Source organism: Homo sapiens, chromosome 10, assembly GCF_000001405.40.
Source record: "Homo sapiens chromosome 10, GRCh38.p14 Primary Assembly".
Lineage (NCBI taxonomy): Eukaryota > Metazoa > Chordata > Mammalia > Primates > Hominidae > Homo > Homo sapiens.
This window is the reverse complement of record NC_000010.11, coordinates 31186488-31211263: the sequence shown is the minus strand read 5'-3', so window position 1 is coordinate 31211263 and position 24776 is coordinate 31186488. Positions and strand designations below refer to the sequence as shown.

Genomic DNA, 24776 nt, shown 5'->3' with positions numbered 1-24776 from the left:
GCAATGTAAGTTCCAGAAGGCAAGTGTTCCCAGTAGTAGTCTGGGAGGGCATTCTGGAGGAGGAGAGGGGGCTGGCTTGGTTGGGCAGTGGGGAGACAGGAGGAGCCAGTGCTGAGAGTGCTTCCTCCAGAGGCAGGTGAGGGAGGCCCTGGGGAGCTCTGGAGCAGGGTCTCAAAGCATGGGTGGGTGAAGCAGTGGAGGGTTTGCTGGCTCTCAAGGGCCTCCCCTACTTGTCCTAGGCGGAGCTTCATGTCTTAGTTTGCATCCCCTGGAAGCACACCTGAGACCAAGGATTTGAGGCTGATGACACATTGGGATCATCCCAGGGAGCAGCAGGGGATGGGAAATGAGACAGGGAAGGGGAGAAAGCTGACATTGGTGCATAAATGAGGGGGAAAACACTGCAGGCACTGGGCTAGTCTGGCAGGGGCCTGCGGGAAATGGCGTGGAACAACCTCAGAGTTGTCTCCCTGAACTCCGTGATCATTTGCAAAGAGCTGCTGAGCTATGGGGCATCAGCTCCCTCTTATCTCTAGCCTGCCCCGTGCAGGACCCAAGAGACAGCCATGGGACCGACAGCTGCAGGTGACAAGGAGGGACCTCAGGTGTGATTAGGAACAGCAAGCATCTAGAGGCTGAAGGCCAGCACCAAAGCATCGGCACCCTGCAGTTCATGCATTTTATAGCAAGTAGAAAGGTTAAGCTGTGGAAACCATAAGCATGATTTTTTTTTTTAATAGAGGGGAGTAAGAATTCTTTTTGCACCACCACAATGCTTTGCCCAATTTAGAATTCCTACAAAACCTACTTCCTAATTCTTGTAATACTTTGTAAAGACATGAAGACAGTTGTCACATCTAGTAAAGTGGACTCATGGAAGCCGCTGATCGCCGCCATTGTAGTTGAGTCACTTACCAATCGTTCCTGCGAATGACTCTGCAACTGAGTATCAGTACCATCAAGCCTTTAAAAAATTTTCTCCCCCATGGAGACTGAATGCGGGGCGAAAAAGCAAAACATAAGCCATGGCCCAATTCATTTACAAGGGTAAATGACACTTGTCATTTAGTATCTAAATTCGTTGCCATAATTTCTGGGTAAAAATGTAAAGCAAAAGCCATGTGCCTCGTGCCTCACAATACATTTTGGAGACGACGTAAGTAAGCTCCCAAGGCCTCGAACAGCATTACATGGGGAGAGAAATGCCCTTGACTCAGGGCTTCTCTATGGAATCATTCCAGAGCAAATTAAAAGAGAGGGCTACACACAAGGCTTTCTACCATCGTGGCGGCCAAGGGTGTTGGCAGAGGCCAACACAGGTGAAAAGAGTGAGGACTTCATAAAAAAAGGGAAACACATCCCCACAAGAACATAACACAGGGTTTCTGAGGAACTGCCTGGCAGAGCCCTGCCTGCTGAGTGGGAAACACCCTTGAATTCTGCACGTCTGTAAAAACCATTTTCATCCGAACAGCCCCACCTTCCACCTGCTAGGAACTGGAGAACACCCAGGCACTTCTTGTTCTGGTGGATTTTTCTCTCAACTCCTAGACCTGCCAGGAACGCGGGGCAGGGGAAGCCAGCCAGGCTGGGGAAGTGGGAGGCTGAGGCATTTCAACAGCTGCTGGGGCGGGGGCGGGGGCAGGGCGGGCAGCACATTTTAATTGTCTTGGGGCTGTTACCATAGAGTTTAGTTTTGCCCCTCTAACCTTTCAAGAGAGTGGTGTGTAAAGGGATTCTCTATGGTCCTTGTTTAGGAATTCAGTGAATGAGTTGATAATTAGGACCATTTACTTAATCTGGCAGCAGAGAGGGAGAAAGGAAGAGCAACATTTTTTGTCTTTCTCTTGGACCCTCTGTGAGGCTCTGCCCGGGAATTGCCCTCCTGTCTGCAGAGTCCTGTATCTGGAGCTACCCAGAAGCCACTCCACTCCTTCCACAGCTGATGCTGGAACAAAATGGGGTTTCCCCAAAAAGAATGGCAAAGGGATGCCACTGCTGAGGACAGTCGCCTCAGCACCCCTTCCTAGGCCGGGGTTCAGGGCGTTCAGGAGGCACTTTCCCTCCAGGCAGCCACACCCAGGGCACCTCTTGGCCTGGGCTGGGCTTTCCCACCTCTGCTGATGTCTTGGGCCTTGTTATTGCCCCATCGTGGAAGCTTGCCTGCTCCTTCTCCTTTCCCGTGCATTCAGACATCTCGCTGGTGACAGGTTGTGAGCTGTTCAGGGGAAGGCGGGCGGCGGGGGGCAAGGCCAAGATTCGAGGTCAGGGCTTTTGTCTCCAAACCTAGGGCTCTTCCCATTTCACTCTGGCACCCTGCTCCAGGTCTTCCACAGAAACCACTGTATTTCTATGTTTATTTTTGTGTCAGTTTAAATTTATATTTCTAAAATTAATTTAATTTTAGATTCAGGAAGTACGTGTGTGTGTTTGTTACATGGATATATTGTATAGTGGTGGGGATTGGGCTTCTGGTGCACCTATCACCCAAACAGTGAACACTGTACATGATAGTTAATTTTTCAACCGTCGCCTTCCTCCTACTCTCCCTGGCTTTGGAGTTCCCAGTGTCCATTATTTTATTTTTATGTCCATGTTTACCCATCGTTTAGCTCCCACTTATAAGTAAGCACATGTGGTATTTAATTTTCTGTTTCAGAGTTAGTTCTTTTAGGACAATGGCCTCCAGCGCCATCCATGTTGTTCCAAAGGACATGATTTCTCTTTTTTCTTTCTTTCTTTCTTTCTTTTTTTTTTGAGATGGAGTCTCACTCTGTCACCAAGCTGGAGTGCAGTGGTGCAATCTCGGCTCACTGCAACCTCTGCCTCCTGGGTCCAAGCCATTCTCCTGCCTCAGCCTCCTGAGTACCACAGGCACGTGCCACCATGCCCGGCTAATTTTTGTATTTTTAGTAGAGACGGTGTTTCACCGTGTTGGCCGGAATGGTCTCGATCTCTTGACCTCATGATCCACTCCCCTTGGCCTCCCAAAGTGCTGGGATTACAGGCATGAGCCACCGTGCCCAGTCCATATTTCATTTTTTTTTTACTGCTGTATCGTATCCCATGTGTATATAGACCACATTTTCTTCATCCAGCCATCCATTGATAGACACTTAGGTTGGCACCATGACTTTGCTATTATGAATAGTGCTGTAATGAACACATGAGTGCAGGCGTCTTTTTTATATAATGATTTATTTTCCTGTGGGTAGATACCCAGCAGTGGGATTGCTGCGTCAAATGGTAGCTCTGTTTTTTAAATTCCATGAGAAATCTCCATACTGTTTTCCAAAGAGATTGAACTACTTTGCATTCCTATCAACAGTGTGTAAACGTTCCCTTTTCTTTACATCCATGCCAGCCTCTGTTGCTTTTTGACTTTTTGATAATAGCCATTCTGACTGGTGTAAGAGGATATCTCGTTGTGGTTTTAATTTGCATTTCTGTGATGACTAGTGATGTTGAGCATTTTTTCATGTGTTTACTGACCACTTGTATTTTTTCTTTTGGGAAGTGTCTGTTTATATCCTTTGCCCAGTTTTTCATGGGGTCGTCTGAGAAACAACTATCTTAAAAGTACAAACCCATCATCACATATTAATAGGAAAAGGAAGGGTGTTTCCCCTCACTTTCCCTATGTAGGTTGTCTTATCCAAAGTGGTTCTAATGTGTGGAGTGATTTCCAGATGGGAAAGATGGTGATGATGATGATAAGATGATGAAGAGTGCAAAGAGTGCATACTCACTGAGCATGTGCCAAGTTACAAAGATAAGCAAGTTGTAAGCACTTTTTCAAAGCCTTTCAACAATCTTATGATTTAAGTAACATCATCATCCCCATTCACAGATACAAAAGCTAAGGCCTGGTTAATTACCAAGCCCAAGGTCCCAAAGCCAAAAGGTGGCCAACCTCACCAGGGCACTTCTCACCCCACCCTTTGCTGTGTCCCATTCATGGCATAAAGGGCCTCGGGCATCTAACTTGCTCCACACAGGCAGCCACCTCTTCTCAGGCTGTGATAAGTGAAGTCCTCAGCCAATGGAGCAGTGAGAGTTAACTTAGGAAGTCCAATGAGGCGCTGAGGACTGTCCTGATCCCTTTCACATATTAGCTCATTTAGCCCTCAACAGCTCAATGAACCATGAGCGATTATCATTTCTCCCCATCATATAGGCAGACAGCCTCGGGCTCAGCCTCAGCCTCGGGTTCAGCCTCGTTACCTGCAGGGTCTGTGTAACCTACCCCAGTGTACCAGCCACAAGGGTGGGCTGGAGCCGAGATCTGGTGATCCAGCTACCACACTCACTCCTTCTGCTGCAGACTTGGCAGGTAACAGTTCTCCTTTCACTCTCAGGCTCAAAAGGTGAATGAAGGTAAAGCCAGTTTAACAGATACCTGTTTGGGTCCAAGTGTAGTGGCTCATGCCTATAATACCAGCACTTTGGAAGGCCAAGGTGGGAGGATCGCTTGAGATCAGGGGTCCAAGATCAGTCTGGGCAACATAGCAAGACTCTGCATCTAAAAGAAAAATTTTTAAATTAGCCAAATGTGATGGTGTGCACCTGTAGGCCTAGCTACTTGAGAGGCTGAGGTAGGAGGATAGATTGAGCCCAGGGATTTGAGGCTGCAGTGAGCTATGATTGTGGCACTGCACTCCAGCCTGGGCAACAGAGCAAGACCCTGTCTCCAAAAAGAGAAAAAAAAATACATAGCAGTTTAGAAACAAGACACTATTTGGATTGATTTTTTTTTTTTTTTTTTTTGGTTATTTTTTGAGGCCCTGGTTCTTTCTGGCAGGGACTTGAAAGAGAATCTACTTGATCCAGCCCCAGAAGCCACTGGGAAGCTGCTTATGGAACTGGGCAAGAGGGCAGTATAGACACCTGCTTCGCTGATAGTGCTGCTGGCAGCCCCGCCTGCTATTCCTAGCGCCTTTTGTGCTATACTGCAGGACCAAACAGAGACTCCAGCTTTGGTAATGTCATCCTATTGAGACCGGGAGTTGCCTGATGCCAGTACAAAATGTTTCCTGAACCTGCAGTTGGTGGAGACTTTCAGAAATGACCAAAGCACATCCTTCTCCAGCATGTCACTTTACATACGACACAATTTTTTTTAATTTTATTTTTCCATAAGTTATTGGGGGTACAAGTAGTATTTAGTTACATGAGTAAGTTCTTTAGTGGAGATTTGTGAGAACCTAGTGCACCCATCACCTGAGCAGTATACACTGCACCATATTTGTTATCTTTTATCTCTCGCCCCACTCCCACTCTTCTCCCAAGTCCCCAAAGTCCATTGTATCATTCTTACGCTTTTGCGTCCTCGTAGCTTAGCTTTTGTGTCCTCATGGCTTAGCTCCCACATATCATAAGATGCATAACAAGCATACGATGCTTGGTTTTCCATTCCTGAGTTACTTCACTTAGGATAATAGTCTCTAATCTCATCCAGGTCATTGCAAATGCTGTTAATCCATTCCTTTTTATAGCTGAGTAGTATTCCATCATATATATATATCAGAGTTTCTTTATCCACTCATTGACTGATGGGCATTTGGGTTGGTTCCACGATTTTGCTATTGTGAATTGTGCTGCTATAAACACGCGTGTGCAAGTATCTTTTTCAAATAATGACTTCTTTCATACGACTCAATTTTAAAGGCTGCATTTACAGTTGACATTTTCTTCAGTCATAATTCAAATTTTTCCTCTTCAGCTGTGAGCAAAGGGAAGCATTTGGGCACCACTGCCAACCTATAAGGTCCGAGGAACTCAACTCAAACACTGAGTCATGCATTTCATGGGGAGCATGGGGTGTTTCTCTACATAGACTACACAGAATCCAGGAGTGCCATCTCTCAGAGCCAGACCTGCTTCCCAGGACTCCTTCCTACCTCCCTCGGGAATCGCTCAGAGCGATTTCCTTTTCATATACTTTGGACGTTTTGTCCTGCCCCCAAATCACATGTTGAAATGTGACCTCCAGTTTTGGAGATGAGGCCTAGTGGGAGGTGTTTGGGTTATGGGGGCGGATCCCTCATGAATGGCTTGGTGCCCTCCCCATGGTAATGAGTTAGTTCACGCAGGAGCTAGTTGATTAAAAGCACATAGCATCTCTCTTGCTCCTTCTCTTACCAGGTGATGTACCTGCTCCCCCTTCACCTTCTGCCATAATTGGAAGCTTCCTGAGGCCCTCACCAGAAGCAGATGCCGGCACCATGCTTCTTGTACAGTCTGCAGAACTGTGAGCCAAATAAACCTCTTTTTAAAAATAAACTACCCAGTCTCAAGTATTCCTTTATAGCAATGCAGAAAAGACTAACACACCTTTCTTGGGAGAAGAGGACAGAAACATGAATGCCTTTCATGGACCATGAACCATGTGAGATGCTTTCCAAGTCATTGTCTTACTGTTCATAGAATTGTCTCACTAAATCCTCAGAAGTCTTTTAACCTGGGAGTTAATTATTCCCATTCTACAGACTCAGAAAAGTTAAGCAACTTATCCAAGGTCAAGCAGCTAAGAAGTGGAACCAGGCCCTTTTGGATAACATTTTCATCACACTTGTGGCCTTCTTAAATCTCTATCCCCCAAAATAATTTTGGCATACACACCTGCTCTCTGCCATTTGCCAAACACAAGGTAGGTGCTTAATTATGGCTTTGTTAGTGAATGAATAAATGAATGAATTATATATTTTTTAGTTAACACTCACTTTGCCATAAACTTCTCTGAATTCCCATATCAGGCCATTCAGCTACTCTCCAGTTGTTAGCAACTCTCCCAGATAGTTATCTAGACTGTACAATTCCTTTTGTGCAGGGTTCCAACAAACTTAGACTTTAAGTTTTCCTTTTCCACCCCCGCCTCTCAGTTGAATCTTTTGGGTTAATGCGCTTGGCTCCCACTGATCAAGTCAAAGCTGACAGGATTGCAGACCTGGCGAACCTCCAAATCTCCAGTTCCAGAAATAGATTATGAAATAAGCAAGGGTGTAAGACAGTTATAATCCTGATGCTATTAATACCCAATGAATGGAATTCTTAACACCCGCCATTGTTGGTCAACTATCATGCAGCATCATTCCTGCACTTTAGAATTACAGAAACATTGAAAATAACTTATCCACCATTTAAGATCCCTTGAATTGCTCATAAACACATTGTCTAAGCCCTGGCAAACCTCAGTTTCCCACTATTACGTGTGCTGTATCTACTCTTTCATTCTGAGGGATGGATATAAGTAGTGCAGTGTTTGCTCTGTTCAAGATTCCATAGTTCTGCACCACAAAGTGTTCTCTAAGTCCAGCGTTTCCAAAAACATATGTTTCTACAGAAATTTTTCCTTTACCTCAAAATAAGAGAAAGGGAAAAAATTCTTTCTGCTCATGGCCCAGATTAACCATGAATTGCTAACATTTCCTTGTGAGAGGATGGGAACATGGAATAGTTAAAACTGAAAATAGCTACAATAACCCAGCTATAAATGTATCCTACACTCTTGGGTTTTTGAGGCTTAAAGAAGTTAAAAATGAAAGAGAAAAATTTAACTGGATTAATTTTTCTAGGAGTATGTATTTCCGCACATCCATTAGTAAATATAAGAATGGTATTAGGGTATCCCAATCATTATACAATGTTTATTGGACAGACGTGATTTTCAAATGGTGTTTTAGAATTGAGCTTCTCGCTTTCACCATGGAGAACACAGTGCTTCTTTACCCTGGTAAGCTTCTCCTGAAAAAAGGCAATGTTTTTCACATATATCCAAGAAAACTTTCACTGACAACATCAATAATTAACTTCTATTCCTTATTTTTATCCCCTGAGAAGGGTACATTTAAGGGAAGATTGTCAAAAGACAAAAAGGAAATCTAGGTAGTGGTGACATCACAGGACTCTAGGACTTCCCTAGAGAAGATGCCTCTTGAGGTTTGAAACACATTAGGTAGACTAACTCCCAAGATCAAACTTATCAATATTTGATAAGTGCTGAAGCTGACACACACAAAGCTAGGAGAAGCTCATCTTGCCTTCCTGGCTGCAAAACAATGACAGCAAAGATCTACAGTCAAGCTATGATCCATTTGAGTGTGTGTTCAACTTTACTTAAATTCATTCATTCATTTATTTTTTCTTTTATTGATTCAACAAACTTATTAAATGCTACACAGGGCACTTTCCTAGGTGCTGGAGGTATAGCCAGGAACAAAAAAACTCCCTGCCTCAATGGCATTTATATTTTAGTTGGTGAGGGAAATAATTATGCATGCATATGTAGACAGACACACATATAAATACACACATGCATATATATACTGTATGTATCCATACATACATTTAATATACGTATATAATATATTACATAATTATTATATATTACATCAATATATTATATACAGCCACGGCTCACTTAATGATGAAGATATGTTCTGAGAAATGCATCATTAGGCCATTTTGTCATTGTGCGAACATCACAGAGTGCACACAAACCTAGATGGTCTAGCTTACTACACATCTAGGCTGTGTGGTGTAGCCCATAGCTTCCAGGCTGCATACCTGTACAGCATGTAGCTGTCCTAAACGCCATTAGGCAACTGGAACACAATGGTAAATATTTGTGTATCTAGGCATATGTAAACATAGACAAGGTACAGGAAAATAATGATATAAGAATCTTATGGAACTAATGTCCTATATGTGCCCGTCCTTGACCAGAATGTCATTATGGGGCATAGGACTGTACTAGTATATAATGTATTATATGTAACTGAATAATATTACATATATAAAACTCAGATAATGATACATGCCATGGAAAAAATATAAGGTAAAGCGAAGAAGCAGGGGTGGGGCAGAGCAGGAGGTGCTTTTTCTTTGTGTTGGAGGGTGTCAGGAACACCACCTTGATCAGAAATCTGGAAGGAGAAGGGAACAAGCCACACCAGCCTCTGGGGAAGACTGTTCTAGGCAGAGGGCACAGTCAGTGGACAGAGGCTCTGAGGGAGAAAGGTGCTTGGTGAGTTTGAGAAGCCGCCAGGAGGTCCGAGGCTAGAGCAGAGTGAGCCCAGGGCGTGTCTGCAGATGAGGGCAGGGGCCTCAGGCCATTTTTTACAGCACTTGAAGGCCCCTGAGAGAAGTCTGGCTTTTACCTGAGTGAGCTGAGAGGTGATTAGAGTGTGATTAGCTGAGGAGCAACTTAATCTGACTCACTAAAACCAAAATGAAACAGAAATCTTCCACTGCCCAGTAGAAAATAGACTGCACGTTCCCAAAGGCAGGAGATGGGAACCCAGTTAGAGACATTTTGCAAAAATCCAGACCAAAGATGGTATCTGGTGCTACCAATAGGTCAGGTAAGATGAGGGCTGGAAACTGATGACTGGATTTAGCCTTGGGGGACCCTTGGTGACTTGGACAACAGCAGTTTCAGGGGAGAGGAGAGGACAAAAACCCTACTGGAGTGAGTTCAAGAGAAAATGGGAGGAGGAGAGGGGTGCAGACATCTCTCAGGGGGCAGAGGAGTAGGGCAGGGACAGAGGGGGATGTGGGGCCCAGAGATGGTTCTTCTAAGACAGGAGAAATAGCAGGATGTCTGTATGCCAATGAGAGTGATCCAGTGGAGAGTGAGAAAAGTGTTTTCATGGGACCAAAGGAGACAGAAGCAGGAGATGTGACTGGTGAGTCTTCCCTGCAACGGGGGGGCGGAACTTCCATAGATGCCCTCACCAGTGGTTCACAGCTATGGGAGGGAAGACGTGTAGGTGGGTGAGCGGGTGTGTAGGGTCGTGGGGATTTAAGGAAGTCTTCTTCTGATCATCTGTTTTCTCAATGGAATAAGAAATAAGGTTACATACACACAAAATCAGCAGAGAGTGAAGACAGAGAAAAAGAATTTGGTTATTTCCAGAGAGAAGACAATTTGTGAAATAGTCTCCTAGGAAAGTTAGAGAGGGAAGGATCATGAAATCCCAGCAAGAACTTCCTGGCACACTAAGATCCCACGTGATATTAGAGTCAGGGACTGAAAGTGAGACCAATCAGATTGGCTGTGTGTTGTTTTCAACCATGTTCAACTAGCAGATTCAAGTACAAGATAGGAAGAGGGTTGGATTTAATTGAATTACTCTGCAGTTGAGAGCTGCAGGTGAGTGATTCCAGCACTTGGTCATCGAATCTGAGCTGCTCAAGTAGGAAAAACAGAGGGGAGTCGAATGAGAGGCAGTAAAAAGGTTATAGGATCAATGGATTGCAGGAGTTAGTGGGATCAAAATGTTATCAGAGTTGGGTACTAGAGGAAGTAAATTGCAAAAATAGAGTGGGTTGCATGAAGGCAACCTTGGCCTCATCTGCTAATGAAAGGAAGGTGTATGTGTTTCCTCCTGCTGCTGTAATGGATTATCATAATTTATTGGCTTAAAACAACACAAATGTGTGATTTGTAGTTCTAGAGATCAGAATTCTGAAATGGATTTCACTGGGCTGTAATAAAGATGTTGACATGGCTTTGTTCCTTTCTGGATATTCTAGGAAGAATCCATTTCCTGGTCCTTTCCAGGACATAGAAGCCAACCACATTCTTTGGCTCATGGCCGTCTTCCTCCATCTGCAAATCCAGTGATAGCGGGTAGAGTTATCCAGAACAGCCTTCTGACCTCCATTTCTGCCTTCCATATTTAAGGACCTTTGTGATTACACTGGGGCCACCTGAATAATACAGCATAGTCTCCTTACTTAAGGTCAGCTGATTAGCAACCTTAATTCCATCTGCAACCTCAATTTCCCTTTGCCATGTAATGTAACATTTTCACAGATTCTAGGGATTAGAAAGTAGACATCTTTGGTGAGGGTTGGAGGGGGGGTCCGTTATTCTGCCTACAACAGAAGGATTGTAGTTATTGGTAAAGACAAGGTCTAGGTTTGACCATGGGAGGTGGTGGCTAAAGTGGAGTGGAGGACAAGATCACTGGAAAAGTGAAGGTCCAGGAATAAGGAGCCAGGATATTAGAAGCAGCATCTGCAAGAATATTGCAGCCACCAAGAATTATAGTAGGAAGAGTACTGGGGACAATGGTAATTAATGAGGACTTAAAGTTGCCAAAGAATGGAGAGTAATGAACAGGGGATAAAGACATTTTTATTAACAAACTATTGGGTGAGAGGTGGTATTGGAGATCAATGCTGCTGAAGTCAGTCAAGGGAGAAGACGTTTTCCAAGTTCTGCTGCTCTAGAATAAGATTCAGGAAAGGTAATAAAAATGATGGGGAATTCTGGAAGTGCAGAATTTCCTTATCGCATCTCTCAACATGGGCTATCATATCCATAAGGTATTGTTTTTAACTTTTCAAAACTTTGACACATCTATTATCTTCATATATGTTCATTACATCTGTGAGATGGAAATAGAAAAGTTTTTGTCCCTCTTCCATGGTTTGGAAAATAAGATGTTAATTGATGGCAAATAAGTGAAAACATTAGATCTGTCCTGTGCCCATTTAATTACTCAGCTGAGTTATTGAAGATATTGTGAAGAATATAATGAAGCATATCATATAATTACATTCCTCCAGGAGACTAGACTCTTGGGTCAAAAATCCCTTTGAGAATCTGATAACAATAATGAATTTTGCCCCTAAAAAGGCACATTGGTGCATACACAAAATTTTACATATAATTTTATGATATAACCAATTTCCCTAAAGTCCCAAGGGAGTCTACACCTCTCAGAATCAGAACCTCTTGTCTGAATGTTGAGGTAAAACTACAGTTGACCCTTGAATAACACTGGGGTTAGGGGCACTGAGTCCCGCTGCAATAAAAAATCCATGTATAACTTTTGACTCTTCAAAAACTTAATCACTAATAGCCTACTGTTGACCGGAAGGCTTACTGATAACATAAACAGTCAGTTAACACATATTTTATAGGTTATATGTATTCTAGACTATATTCTTACAATAATAGAAGCCAGAGAAAATAAATTGTTATTAAGAAAATCATAAGGAGAAGATAATATGTTTACTATTCATGAAGTCGAAGTGGATTATCATGAAGGTCTATATCTTCTTGGTCTTCACGTTGAGCAGGCTGAGAAGGAGGAGAAAGAGGAAGGGTTGGTCTTTCTGTCTCAGGGGTGCCAGAGATGTAAGAAAATCTACATATAATAGGATCCATGCAGTTCAAACCCATGTTGTTCAAGGGTCAACTGTAAAGACAGTAGAAATTGCCTAACAGTGTAAGTTACAAGAGAAATTATAATCAGGTGCCAAATGGGTGATATGGAAAATTAGTTATAAGTCCAGAAAAGCAATGCATCACTCAACTTGGGAATAATTATGGAAAAACTGTAGAATCTTGAAGACAGGAGATGATTCCATGGAAAAGAGGAGGAATGGCATTTAAGGTAAGAAGATGGAGAGAAGCTGGAAATTAGGTTGGAATGTTTCAGAGCCAGTGACTAGGCCAATTTAACCATCTGTGAAATGTGGGCAAAAATGACTTCCAAGGTATAGTTGTAAAAAATAATTAAAGCTCTTGATGAAATGTGTCCCTCAAAACATTATTAATATGATACATGGGTCTGTTTCAGGATGAGCAAGGCATAAAATTATTATTATAATTGATTTAGCAGGAATTTCTAAATTTGTGCTAACACTTACAAGGTCTCTCTATCTTTAAAATAAAATACTGAAGCAGAAAAAGTAACTTTCTCATATTCTCAGTCAGAAGGTTCTCATAAAATTATATAACAGCTACTTGAACCATACATTTTTTCCTGTGATTTTTATGTATTTTACATGTTTTTAGCTCTTTAAAAAAACTGACTTACGAAGATAAAACAAAGGCTCTTCTTTATAACTGGGATAAATAATGCTTCCCTTATTTCAAGAGCGGGTGTGAGATCCCAAACCCTGTTTTTCTCAACCTTCTTTTGCTCTCTACAAAATGTAAGCTGCCATGTGGAAGAGAGTAAGTAAAAATATCAATACATTGCAGCTACTTGGACAGCATTTAGAGAGAGTCAAATGTTTTAAGAACACTTAATATTAAATGGAAAATAGATGAATGATGATAAATAATTCTATCTATAGGTCTGAGTTGCCATGTTGGAATCTAAATCTGAGACATTGCAGGGAAAATCCTGTGCACGACTCATCGGAGGGCTGAATTACACCAAAATGAGATCCAGGTTAAGAATGTGGAGACTGGAGCAATCCCCTAAAGCAGTTTTTTCTGAGCTATATTCCCCTTGGCAATGTAGACATGCAGAATAATCACGAGTATCCTGGAACCGTAGAGTGGTAGGACTGGGCAGAACCTAACAGTTCTCAAGTCTGACTCTAACGGATGCTGGGGTTTCCTCTCCAGCACACCTGCCTCTTCCCTGAATAAGCATATCTGGAGACAGGCAAAGTCAGAGGTGTGCTGGTAAATGCTTATCAGCTAATCTCCAGAGAAAAAAAAGGACCCTGACTGGTAGCATTTGCCAAGATCCGAGGTGTAAATACTCCCACCGTGGCCAATTCAAGCAACTAATGTTATATCAACATTATGTACTATTTCCACTGCACAGATACGATGGCAGTAAATAACCTCAGAGGCATATATAAGAAGACAACATAGTAAAATGATCTGGAAGTGGTAGATTTTAAATGTTTTTACCTTTTTGGAAATATTATTTATTTAATTATAATGTAATAAGATTTAACTTATAAGAAGGTTGTATAACATATAACACATAATAAATTGGCACTCATGAGCCAGTACATGCTAGCTCTGGCACACACTGATAATAGCCCTGGAAAATGACCCTGGACCACCTTCCCCATGAAAGAAAACCCCTTAGTAGGTCCTGATCAATGGAAACTCCCCAATATCACTACCCAAGCATTCAGCACATTTTTTTTTTCTTTTAAGAGACACGGTCTCTCTGTGTTGCCCAGGCTGTAGTGCAGTGGCGCAATCACAGCTCACTGCAGCCTCAATCTCCTGGGCTTAAGGGATCCTCTCACCTCAGCCACACCCAGCTAATTTTGTAATTTTTTGAAGAAATGAGGTCTTGGTTTATTGTCCAGGCTGGTCTTGGATTCCTGGCCTCAAATGATCCTCCTGCCTTGGCCTCCCAAAACACTGGGATTACAGGCATAAGCCACCGACTGGTGTTCAGCACTTTTAAGCCAGGCTTGTCTTCTTTTCTTCACTCTCATTTCTTTGTAGTTTCTTCAAACACAACAAACACCAATAAACTCCAAATGAATTAATGATGTAAATGTAAAAATGAAAGAACTAAGAGAAATACAGATGGATATTTTTATAAAATTGGAGAATAGACTTCTCAAGCATCACATAAAATTCAGAAACCAAGAAAATAAATGAATAGAATTGATTTAATAATGTAAAACACTTGTATAAGAGAATATTTCAGTATTAGTAAACAAAGTTAAAGAAAAGTCACAGAATGGGAGGACGTATAAGAACCACACCTAACAGGTTAATAGCCATACCCTATATAAAAGCTCTTGGAAACCAAAAGGAAGAAGACCAAAAAATCCCATAGAAAAATTCGTCCAGGATAGAAACAGGTAATTCATGGATGAACCATAAATGACTATAAATATATGAATAGATGCTCAAAGAAACACACAATAAAATAATTAAACACTTATTTCACCTAACAGATTACTAAATATTAAGATGTTTGGTAAACCCATTGTTGAGGAGGTATGGGGAACCAGGCATTCAGACACTGTTGGTAGAAGTATAAGTCAGTGCAGCCTATTTGAAGAGGAAAAGACAGTAGTGTCTAAAAGACAAAAACAAAATGCACATACACCTTGACCCAGCAATTCTGTTATGATTTAAAATTTTTTTAAATGACCTAAAATATATGTACAAAAATATTTGTCACAGCATGGTGGTAACTGCATAACATTAGAAACAACTGAATGTTCTCTAATAGGGGACTGATTAAAAAACGCGTGGTGTGCCCCTGAAATGCAAGGCCACTAAAAGCTCTGTCTATGTAAGTATCAGTGTTCTCCAAGATGCAACATTAAGTGGGTAAAAGTGCCAAACATCGTGTATGTTTTTGTTGTTGTTGTTGTTGTTGTTGTTGTTGTTGTTGGGATGGAGTCTCGCTCTGTTGCCAGGCTGCAGTGCAGTAGCTGGATCTTGGCTCACTGCAACCTCCGCCTCCTGGGTTCAAGCGATTCTCCTGCCTCAGCCTCCCGAGTAGCTGAGATTACAGGCAAGCGCCACCACACCCAGCTAATTTTTGTATTTTTAGTAGAGACAGGGGTTTCACCATGTTGGCTAGGATGGTCTTGATCTCTTGACCTCATGATCCGCCCGCCTCGGCCTCCCAAAGTGCTGGGATTACAGGCGTGAGCCACCTCGCCCAGCTGCATCGTGTTTAGCATTGTTCCATTTATGTAAATGTAAAAGGATGTGTGTATATATATATTTGTATAATCATGTCTCTTTCTGGGAAGAAATGAAGGACACTATTAACTGTTATTACCTTTGGGTTAGAAGATGATGTTTACTTTTAATTTTCTTTCTTTATAAAAAGAAAGACTTTTTTAAGTATAAACTTAAAAAAACGAAGTATATGCATCAATTTTATTTAAAGAACAAAATTTACTTTTTTTCATAAATAAATAAGAGTTTCTTAGTTTTGGTTCCCCAGAAACAGACCTTGAAACAAGGATTTGAGTGCAAGCGTTTGTTTGGGTGGTCATCCTAAGAAATATCAGTGGGGTATTAAGGAAGGGAGATTGGGCAGGGGAGGGAGTGAATGAAGAGTGTGCTGTCAATCAAGTTACCACTGTGGGCAACTGGAAACTGTGATCCAGCATAAAACATGCACCTGAGTTAACCCATTAACCCACCCAGCCAAGGAGGTATTTAGCCATCAATTCCTGTGGGTCATTGATTGAAGGCTGCTCGGGGGGCCTTAACTCCATGGCTCAGACACAGACAGAACAAACTCTGCGGCCAGAGAAAGCCTCAGGCAAAGAGCTGGGACAGACGCAGGAGACAGGAGCTGGGAAAGGATGTGGGTTGGCTGCAAGGCATGTCTGCTACAGAGACCACAACCCTAGTATCAGATTATAATAAATAAACAGAACATGCATGTTTGCTGACCTAGCAATTTCACATTTAGGAATCTCCCTCCTGACGTCCTTACATACCTGGGCCCCAATCAACAATATAGAAAGATAGATTGATTGCAAAATTGTTTGTAACACAGTACAGCCAAAACAAAACCAAAAAACCAATGTGAATGTCAATCAGTAGGAAGAGATTAAATGCACCATGATGTATCCCGCATATGCAAGTCAAGAAAAACAGTGAGGTCCATCTTAGTAAATTTCATGAAAAAAAAAAATCTCTGAGACACATCACCTTGTGGAACAATATATATCATGAGACCTCATTTTTGTAAAATAGCAAAAACAAGAAAGAAGCAAATAAAAACATACACAAACTCCAGGTCAACTATATGTATGTGTATGTGTACACGGCAAAAGTTCTGAAAAAATAAACAAGTTGCCAGAGTGTGTGCAATGTAAAGTGTACATTACTGATGTTTTAATGTATTATTACATATTTTCATTTACTATAAGGACCCACATTACATGAAAAAGGGTGCTAGAAATAGTACCTATTTCATAGGTTATTGTGGAGACTGAGATAATACACGTAAAATAGCTAGCACTGCACTGCTCATAGAGTGAATCTTCAATGAATGTTTGCTGTTAAAAATGATGGCTTTACTCCATCTCAAAAAAAAAAAAAAAGGATGGCTTTATATGTCACGAAGAAACTAAGTATAAAGTGAGCCAGAGTTTGATTGTCTCTTCACACCTCACTCTATTCACTTATTTATTTGTTTGTTTATAGACTCAGGGTCTCACTCTGTCACCCAGGCTGGAGTGCAGTGGCATGATCATGGTTCACTGCAGCCTCAATCTCCTGGGCTCAAGTGATTCTCCTGCCTCAGCCTCCCAAGTACTTGAGACTACAGGTGTGAGCCACCATGCTTGGCTAATTTAAAAATCATTTGTAGAGCCGGGAGTCTTGCTATGTTGCCCAGGCAGGTTTTGAACTTCTGACCTCAAGCAATCCTCCTGCCTCAGCCTCACCGCTGGGATTACGCACCCATTTATTTAACAACTATCACTGAGGTCCTCCTACCAACTAGGCATGGAGAGGCATCAAGTGACAAGATCAAATCCCTGCTCCCTCCAGCAGGAGCTCACATTCTGCTGGGGCAAACAATGAAATAAACATGCAACATGTCAAGTGACAATCAATGCTGCCAGGTAAGGAAATGGGGTCTTGGAGTTAGGGTGCTGTCATTTATAGGAGGGTCTCTGATAGAGTGCTATTGGAGTGGAGATCCGATGAAGTCATTGGGGAAAGTGCATGGGCCTGGGCAGGTTACGGGAAGGAAGAAGAGTTCACTGAGTGAGAAGTAAAATGATTGGAGGGGGTGGTTAATCCTGGCCTGATATTTTAACATCACTGCTGCTGCAGCATAGAAATTGGATTAGCGGAGGGGAACAGGGGCAAGGTGGATCATGTGTGTGACGTTTGCCTTCACAGTAGTAAGACAATGAAGACCATGGCAGTGAGTGTGGGACTGGAAGGAATGGGATGATGGGAAAATAGTTAAAAGACGAAAACAAGAACCTGGTAATTAATTAGATGTGAGAAGAAGAAGAAAGAATTGTGAATGAGGCTTAGGTGAAATTGCTGCAGGGCACAGCTGTGAGGAGGTCTTGAAAGAAAGGGCTGCCCAGGATGGAGCCTCCAGCCTCCCATCCAGCCACTTCCCTCCTTCCAATCACATGCTTGAGTGCTCACCCTGCACCAAACACTGTGTTCCCTAGAATGTCCTTGCTCTGGGTGGCTGCTGCTATGGTTTGAATGTTTGTGCCCTCCGAAACTCATGTGGGACCTTGGTCCCTGAGGAAGAGACCTGAGCTAGCATGCCATGATGTCCCGTGCCACCTCAGGACTCTGCAGAGACCCTAGCGTCAAGAAGGCTCTCGCCAGGGGCGGCCCCTCGACCTTGGACTTCTCAGCTTCCATAACTGTAAGAAATATATTTCTGCCCGGGTATGGTGGCTCACACTTGTAATCCCAGCACTTTGGGAGGCCATGACAGGAGGATTGCTTGAGGCTTTGAGTTCAAGGCTAGCCTGGATAATAGAGGGAGACCCCATCTCTGCCAAAAAATTAAAAATTAGCTTGGCATTGTAGCACACACCTGTAGTCCTAGCTACTTGTGAGGCTGAGGCAGGAGGATTGCTTAAGCCTGCAAGTTTGAGGTTGCAGTGAGCCATGATTGCATCACTGCACTCTAGCCTGGGCAACAGGGTGAGACCCTGTCTCGAAAAAAGAAAGAAAAGGAAGGAAGGAAGGAGGAAAAGAAGGAAGGAAGGAAGGAAGGAAGGAAGGAATTTCTGTACTTTATAAATTACCCAGCTTCAGGTATTCTGTTTTAAGTAACAGAAAACAGACTAAGGCAGCTGCTTAGAGAACTCCTATTCATACTTCAAAACCCAGACCCAGCTCAGGCATCACCACCTCCAGGCAGCCTGATGCTACAGCTCGAATGAATCGTTTATTCTTCTGCATCACTTCCAGCCTCGTCCACAGCCTAGCCACACAGCTTCCCAACCAACAACAAGCAACACAGCCGTGGGTCCAGATTATAGCCCAGTGGGGAGGGGGAATAGGAAGGTCTCGAAAGAACCTGTGAAGACCCTGCACTTGGCATGTTGCAAATAGGTTGTGCTTGCACCCCTAGGCCTTGAGTTGCCCACGTTGGGCAACTGGAGCAGGTGGAGCTCCTGGCCAGTTAGCTCTCACCATGAACAGCACATCCATTTACCCAAGAGCACCACACAAATATCATCATTTTCTATATGTGCTATGTCCTGAAACAAAAAGGGGGGATGCTCTATCTGTACTAGGTGTTAAATTGGAATTATTTTAGTCTCAGTTTCAAGTGAGGCCCCAAAGAAATAGCTAGAACATTCCAAAGTGAGATGCAAGACTTGCAAAAAGTGCTTATGGAAACCAGTTTTGTAGTCTCAGCCAACCACCCACCTCCAGACTATAAAAGATGAGAGGGAAGCCAAGAATTGAAATTTACAGTAGGGAATTTTTGGAGGAAAGCCCTGCTGTGGGCCTCACCTGGAAGAAAGAATGAGGTCACTTGCCCTACCTCAAGCCAAGGTGTAGGGGTGCCTCCTGACGCTCGGGGGACACAGTGGGCTGGTGTCTGGCTGAGAAGTGGGGAGCCTGGCTTGTTGGTTGCTCTGTGGTGTTGGGGTCAGCTTGCACTCAGAATTGGGTACAAAGGACTCGTCATGCTTCCCATGAATGGTGAGGGCCATTCGGGGGAAGGAGGGAGTAAGAGGGGCCAAATAGAAAGTGAGGCAGCCCCGGTAGGAAGTGACTTCAGATTCCCCGGGGCTGAGGAAGAGCCATAAGCAAGCAGCCAGAAGAGATGCATTCAGGGCCCCAAGGGGCTCCAGGGGAGACAGCCCCAGGATCGTGGCCCAGTAGGGAATGGAGAGTTGGAGGGTCTCAGAAGAACCTGTGAAGGCACCGCACAAGAGAAGGGCTGCTGCGACCCTGGCCTCCGGGCCTTTGCTTATCCTCCTTCTCTCCTCCCCGATCTGATGCTGGGGAACTCAGAAACCAGCTGGAGTGAGCACCTGGCTGCGGCAGCCATTAGCCCTGTGGAGGCTGAGGCAGGAGAATCGCTTGAGCCTGGGACTTTGAGGTTGCAGTGAGCCGTGACCGTACCACTGCACTCCAGCCTCAATGCAATGGGGGTGGGAGCCAGAAGTTTTACCCTTAAATGAAGCATGACGCTTTTGATTATTACACTTGATTCAATGTATTAATTACTGGAAAGAGCTGATGTTTTGAGATTTAAGCAACTGGGACACTTTTAATGTCTAAAGGTGACCAGGAAAGCTATGGGCCCCTGAGCTTTCCCCCAGGACTGCAAAAGGGTGGGCCTTAGCAAATAACTCTGAAAGGAGGTGGAGGTAAGAATAAACTCGCCTTCTCATCGCACCCCGTGGGTCATGGTTAGTTCATCATAACAAGTGCTTTTCTGTCTCCATTCTTTCCCTCTTCTGGGAGCTCCTTGAGAGCAGGAACTTACACCTAGTGTAAGCGTAGTTTGGCCAACAGCAGGTATGGGTTTTTGCAGATTGATCCAAAGTCCGCTGTGACATGCTTCATTTCTGTTTATTCCTTCCCAGTCTTCTAAAATTGAGCTCCTCAACTTAGAGCCTTGAATGAATTCCAAGTGTGAGGAGAGAGTGACTACCCTTAGCCCCCAACTTAACCCTTAGGGCATCCAGGCAAGTGCCCAAGGGCTGAAACCCAGAACCTCTTGCCTTTGGCTGCAAGCAAATCTTTATCCAAGAGGGCCTTAGAAAAATGATCATTTCTCCATGGAATCAACCCAAATGCCAAGTTTATCAATGATAGACTGGATAAAGAAAATGTGGTACACATACATCATGGAATACTATGCAGCCGTAAAAAGGAATAAGATCATGTCCTTTGCAGAGACATGGATGAAGCAAGAAGCCTCATGTTATGCTCCTGTTACATGTTATCCTCATGCCACATTTTGTCCTCAGCAAACTAACCCAGGAACAGAAAACCAAACATGGCATGTTCTCACTTATAAGGAGGAGCTGAACGATGTGAACACACTGACACATGGTGGGGACACACACTGGGGCCTGTGAGTGGGGACGAGAGGACGGAGAGCATCAGGAAGAACAGCTAATGGGTGCTGGGCTTAATACCTAGGTGATGGGATGATCTGTGCAGCAAACCACCTTGGCACACAGTTACCTATGTAACAAACCTGCACATCCTGCACTGTACCCTGGAATTTAAAATAAATGTCAAAGAAAAAAAGAAAAATGATAATTTCTCTGAATGCCATGGGTTAGCAAAAGGCTGGGAAGCATTGCTCTAAGATAGCTCCTGGGACCTTTGCATTTTGCTTTCTGACTTTCTGCTCTATGTACAATAATTTTTTGTCATGCCTCCCCGAAAGTTCACCACTCTTTACCACTGCCAGCTACCCTGTCACCACATGAAACGATACTTCGTCTACATGAGCTGAATATTGCATCCCTTCTTCTTCATGTTTGTACACAGCCACCGTTGAGTTTCACATTTTGTGAAATGCAGGCATCACTACAGTTGATGTACAGAAGAACCCAATGAGGCTGAGAATGCTTACGCGCATCACCTCGGAACTGCTGCATGCGTCAAAAAACATGGAATAGTTGCTCCCTTGCAATTGCTGTCAGGTGCCTGCTGCTTCCACCCACTTTGACACTCCAGGCTGTGGGTGCTGCTTGGGGTCCCCAATGGGCCCAGCCTCCACAGGTAGGATTCCAGTTGGCCCTGGCGGGAGGCATGTGACAGCCATGGGGCCTTTCCCCATCCTCTCCCTGGCTTATTCCTGGCTCCCACAACCTGTGTTTGTTACCTAGCTGCATCTCTGATTTCTGAGCTCCTGGATTGTGGGTATTGCCTTCTCGGGTTTGCAATATCTGGCTGATGCCAAACCCCTTGGCTCTGCCTCTCCTAGGGTACAGCCATGGTTTGGGGGCTCAACTTCTCAGGGTCACCGAAGCTCTAATCTGCTAACCCAATTTCAGTTCCTGGATCTTTCTGGCTATTCCTGTTCAGTGGATACCCAACCCTGGTATCATCTTACTAGTCCCGGAATCTTGAATTGAGAGCAAAAAGTAATTGTGTTTTTGTTAGAAAAGATGGGGACAAAGTTAGAGGGTGGGAAAAAGCATCTGATGCCCAAGACTGTGAGCTGAACTGGAAAAATAGAGTGTCTGAGGAACTCCATCAGAAAACTCTGCATGAAGTCTTTGGATTTGGGTTGTCTATCTCCAGTGATAATGTGCTGGTGATGACTAATTAGGTGCACCATCGTTCGGAGACTCAGTAAAGACTACAAATGAAAAAACATAGTCGATCAAGGCATGATTCACACTCAAAGGACTCTTGAAACAAGCAAAGAACTTTGTTGTTTAGTCTGGCAAACATTTCACTTTGAAAATAATCATAAATGAAAACCATGCTCCCTGAATCTTCCAGCTATCTATGTGAAATGCTCTTAATTTCATAGGTGGTTGGTAAGGGACCAATTACTTTCGACATGTGAATGAAATGACATCATCTTTGCCAAACAATGTGCAGTGAAATGAGAGACCACCTTCCTTATGGCATGTTTCATATGTTCTCTCTCTCTCTCTCTCTCTCTACAAATTGGCCCATGAGTATTCCTTCACTTTCTCATTATAACAAAACAAAAGAAAAATCCAATCACATGTATTGCCAGCTGCTTCTCCCTTGTGGCATAATTCTGCAGAAGCAGTGAGAGGACATTTTCAGTGGGAGGCTGCTACAGGACCACCAGAGAGTGCAGGAGGCCTGGGCCAGGGGTCTATGAGCTGCTCCAGAAGCTTCTGACTGCTGCTTCTGGAGCCCAAGTTCTGGGATCTGAGCAAGGTGACACTGGTTCAGCTGGTGGCCCTCTCCCCTTGCAGAGGGAACAGGTGCTTAGTGGAGAAGCTGAGGCCTTGGGCACTCCGTTTTCTTCTCCCCTGGCCCAGGGCAGGCACTTGGGGTGTCCTCTTCCATGGGTGGCCCCTGCTGGGGATTTCCAAGCCCCCAACAGAATTACATTCTTCTTCCTCAGTCCTTGCACTGCCTCTGTTTTCCCACAATAGCAAAATACAATGGCAGCCTACAGAGCACAGCACAAACTAGCATCATGACCTCAGGGCCACTAAGAAGGCCCTAAGACCCCTTGAATCCTTTCATGGAGGGCAAAGGCTTTCTTTCCTCCCTTAGGGATAGGGCCATAGATCCCTCCAGCCCTTGGGCAGCTGAGTGGAACCTGGAACCCCTCAGCCCATCCCGTTCCAGTACCCTCCACCCTTGAGTTGTGGTCCCAGTGACCAGGCAAACATTACCATTTTCTCCAAAAGCTCTGCCAGGACCGGGGCTGCAGGTGACGGCCGCAGATCCTCTCCCAGTGAGAAGATTCTGATGGAGGGAGCACCCACGTTCCGCGGCAGGCATCCTCCACCTGCCCCCTCAGCCTTTGAGCCAGAGCACATCACTCATCCAGTGAGAGAGGTGGCCAGCCCAGGGCAGGAGGGGGGCTCCACGACTTCGGGGCTGGCCAGGGCGTAGTGCTGAGGATCTAGAGAACATTGGCAGTGAAGATTTCCCTATAACTCCAACTACTCTGGAATCCATCCTGACCACTTTTTGTTTTCCCATTTTTACCCAAGGGTCGGCTCTGCTTCTGCAAACATCCGGCCCTTCCCCTCCTCTGGCCTGTGCTCAGAATTCAGAAGCAGCTGTGGGGGCACGCGGCTGTGCCCTTTAGCCCATGGTCACAGGAGAAATGGCCTCAGCAGAAAGACTCCAGAAATGACAGCCATGCTCAGCCTTGGGAGGTTTTACAAAACAACAGCCCTTACCTCCCCTTCCCCTGAAATAAAAAATGCGGAATATTTTTAAATAAAATGTGTCATTTTTTAAGCAAGAGGTATACCATTTTCCCAGTGGCAGTTTTCAAACATTTCAAAAATGTTAAATGGTACGTTAATTCTCCCTTTATTCTTCATGCTTTCTCTCACCCTGGAAATATATGTATATATATGCACACATTATCCTTGGAGGTGTATTTTCTAGGATGCAAATAACAAAGGAAAGTGATGGCATTTGGAATTCAGGTGCTTGAAGAGGTGGACATGTGCTTTTCATTCCAGCATATAATTGAGGACATTGTCACTTGTCTTACACACGTGTATCCAGTTCTGTTCATCTGCCACCCTCCTTGCCTGTATTTGCTGATCTGATCAACTAGGTGTTTGGGTGAATATCCCACTCTCATACCACCACCATGCTTGGAGTATTTCCAAGAACAGTGAATCAAACTTGGGGCCAGGGCATGGCCTACTTCCAACAAAATACAGTCTTATACATTTCAGGACCATTTTACTGCTGTTTGCTATAACCAAATGAGCAATGGGCAGGTTTAGGGACCACAAAAGCAAAGCAGCATAACATTTGGAATTTTCATGTATGCTTATTTCTTAAATTTGAAGAACTCTGTTGTTATTTCAGGACTTGTGTGCTAGTCTTTGATTCTTCTCCCACAAAGCCCGAGAGGAAATCTCCCCTTTCTCTTGCTGTTCTGGCCTTGGCCTTGCAATGTATGGTCTCACTCCCCTTGCACCTGGGCCATGTCCCTTGAACATGGTAGGGTTGTACCAGAGAAGCAAAGCTTGTATTGAATGGCACATTCCATCGCAGAGGCTCTCCTAGCAACATGGCAACAATAACAAACCTAACAATAGCTTTTTGTTTTTAGCTCTATAAAGTGCTGTGGCCATTAGTCTCACCAGAAAATTCAAAGGATAATTTTGCAAGTGACGAGTGGTTTCTAGCTGAAGCATTGAAATTGGAGCCCCTTGATTGCTTTCCTCCAATCTGCTAATATCTAAGTAGGCAGGCACCAGAGTTTCATTTGAGGAGCAGGATGTGCCAAAGGGGGGCGCTGCACAGGGAAATAACAGGGCTGGGGTGGCTCTAGCCCTGGCTCTGGTTGGTGAACTCCCCACATACCATTGGCCAAGTCATGTTAACTCTCTAGATCTTACTCTCCTCATCT

General features: G+C 43.9%; 1 long non-coding RNA gene across 1 annotated transcript in view, besides 1 other annotated feature; it reads right to left on the bottom strand.

Annotated features, from left to right (window-relative positions):
- The window catches only part of LINC02664 (long intergenic non-protein coding RNA 2664), a 73670-nt gene extending 50289 nt beyond the window's left edge, over positions 1-23381 (bottom strand). The window contains exon 1 of the long non-coding RNA NR_134478.1: positions 23065-23381. This is a non-coding gene — a long non-coding RNA (long intergenic non-protein coding RNA 2664). The remainder of the gene's footprint in view (positions 1-23064) is intronic.
- Positions 1608-2108: an enhancer, noted in NCBI's record as "H3K4me1 hESC enhancer chr10:31498085-31498585 (GRCh37/hg19 assembly coordinates)". NCBI's record gives its function as "activates a minimal SCP1, AML or CMV promoter by ChIP-STARR-seq in naive H9 embryonic stem cells {active_cell/tissue: H9 hESC(naive)}" and the evidence as "EXISTENCE:reporter gene assay evidence [ECO:0000049][PMID:30033119]".
- Positions 23382-24776: the final 1395 nt, after the last annotated feature.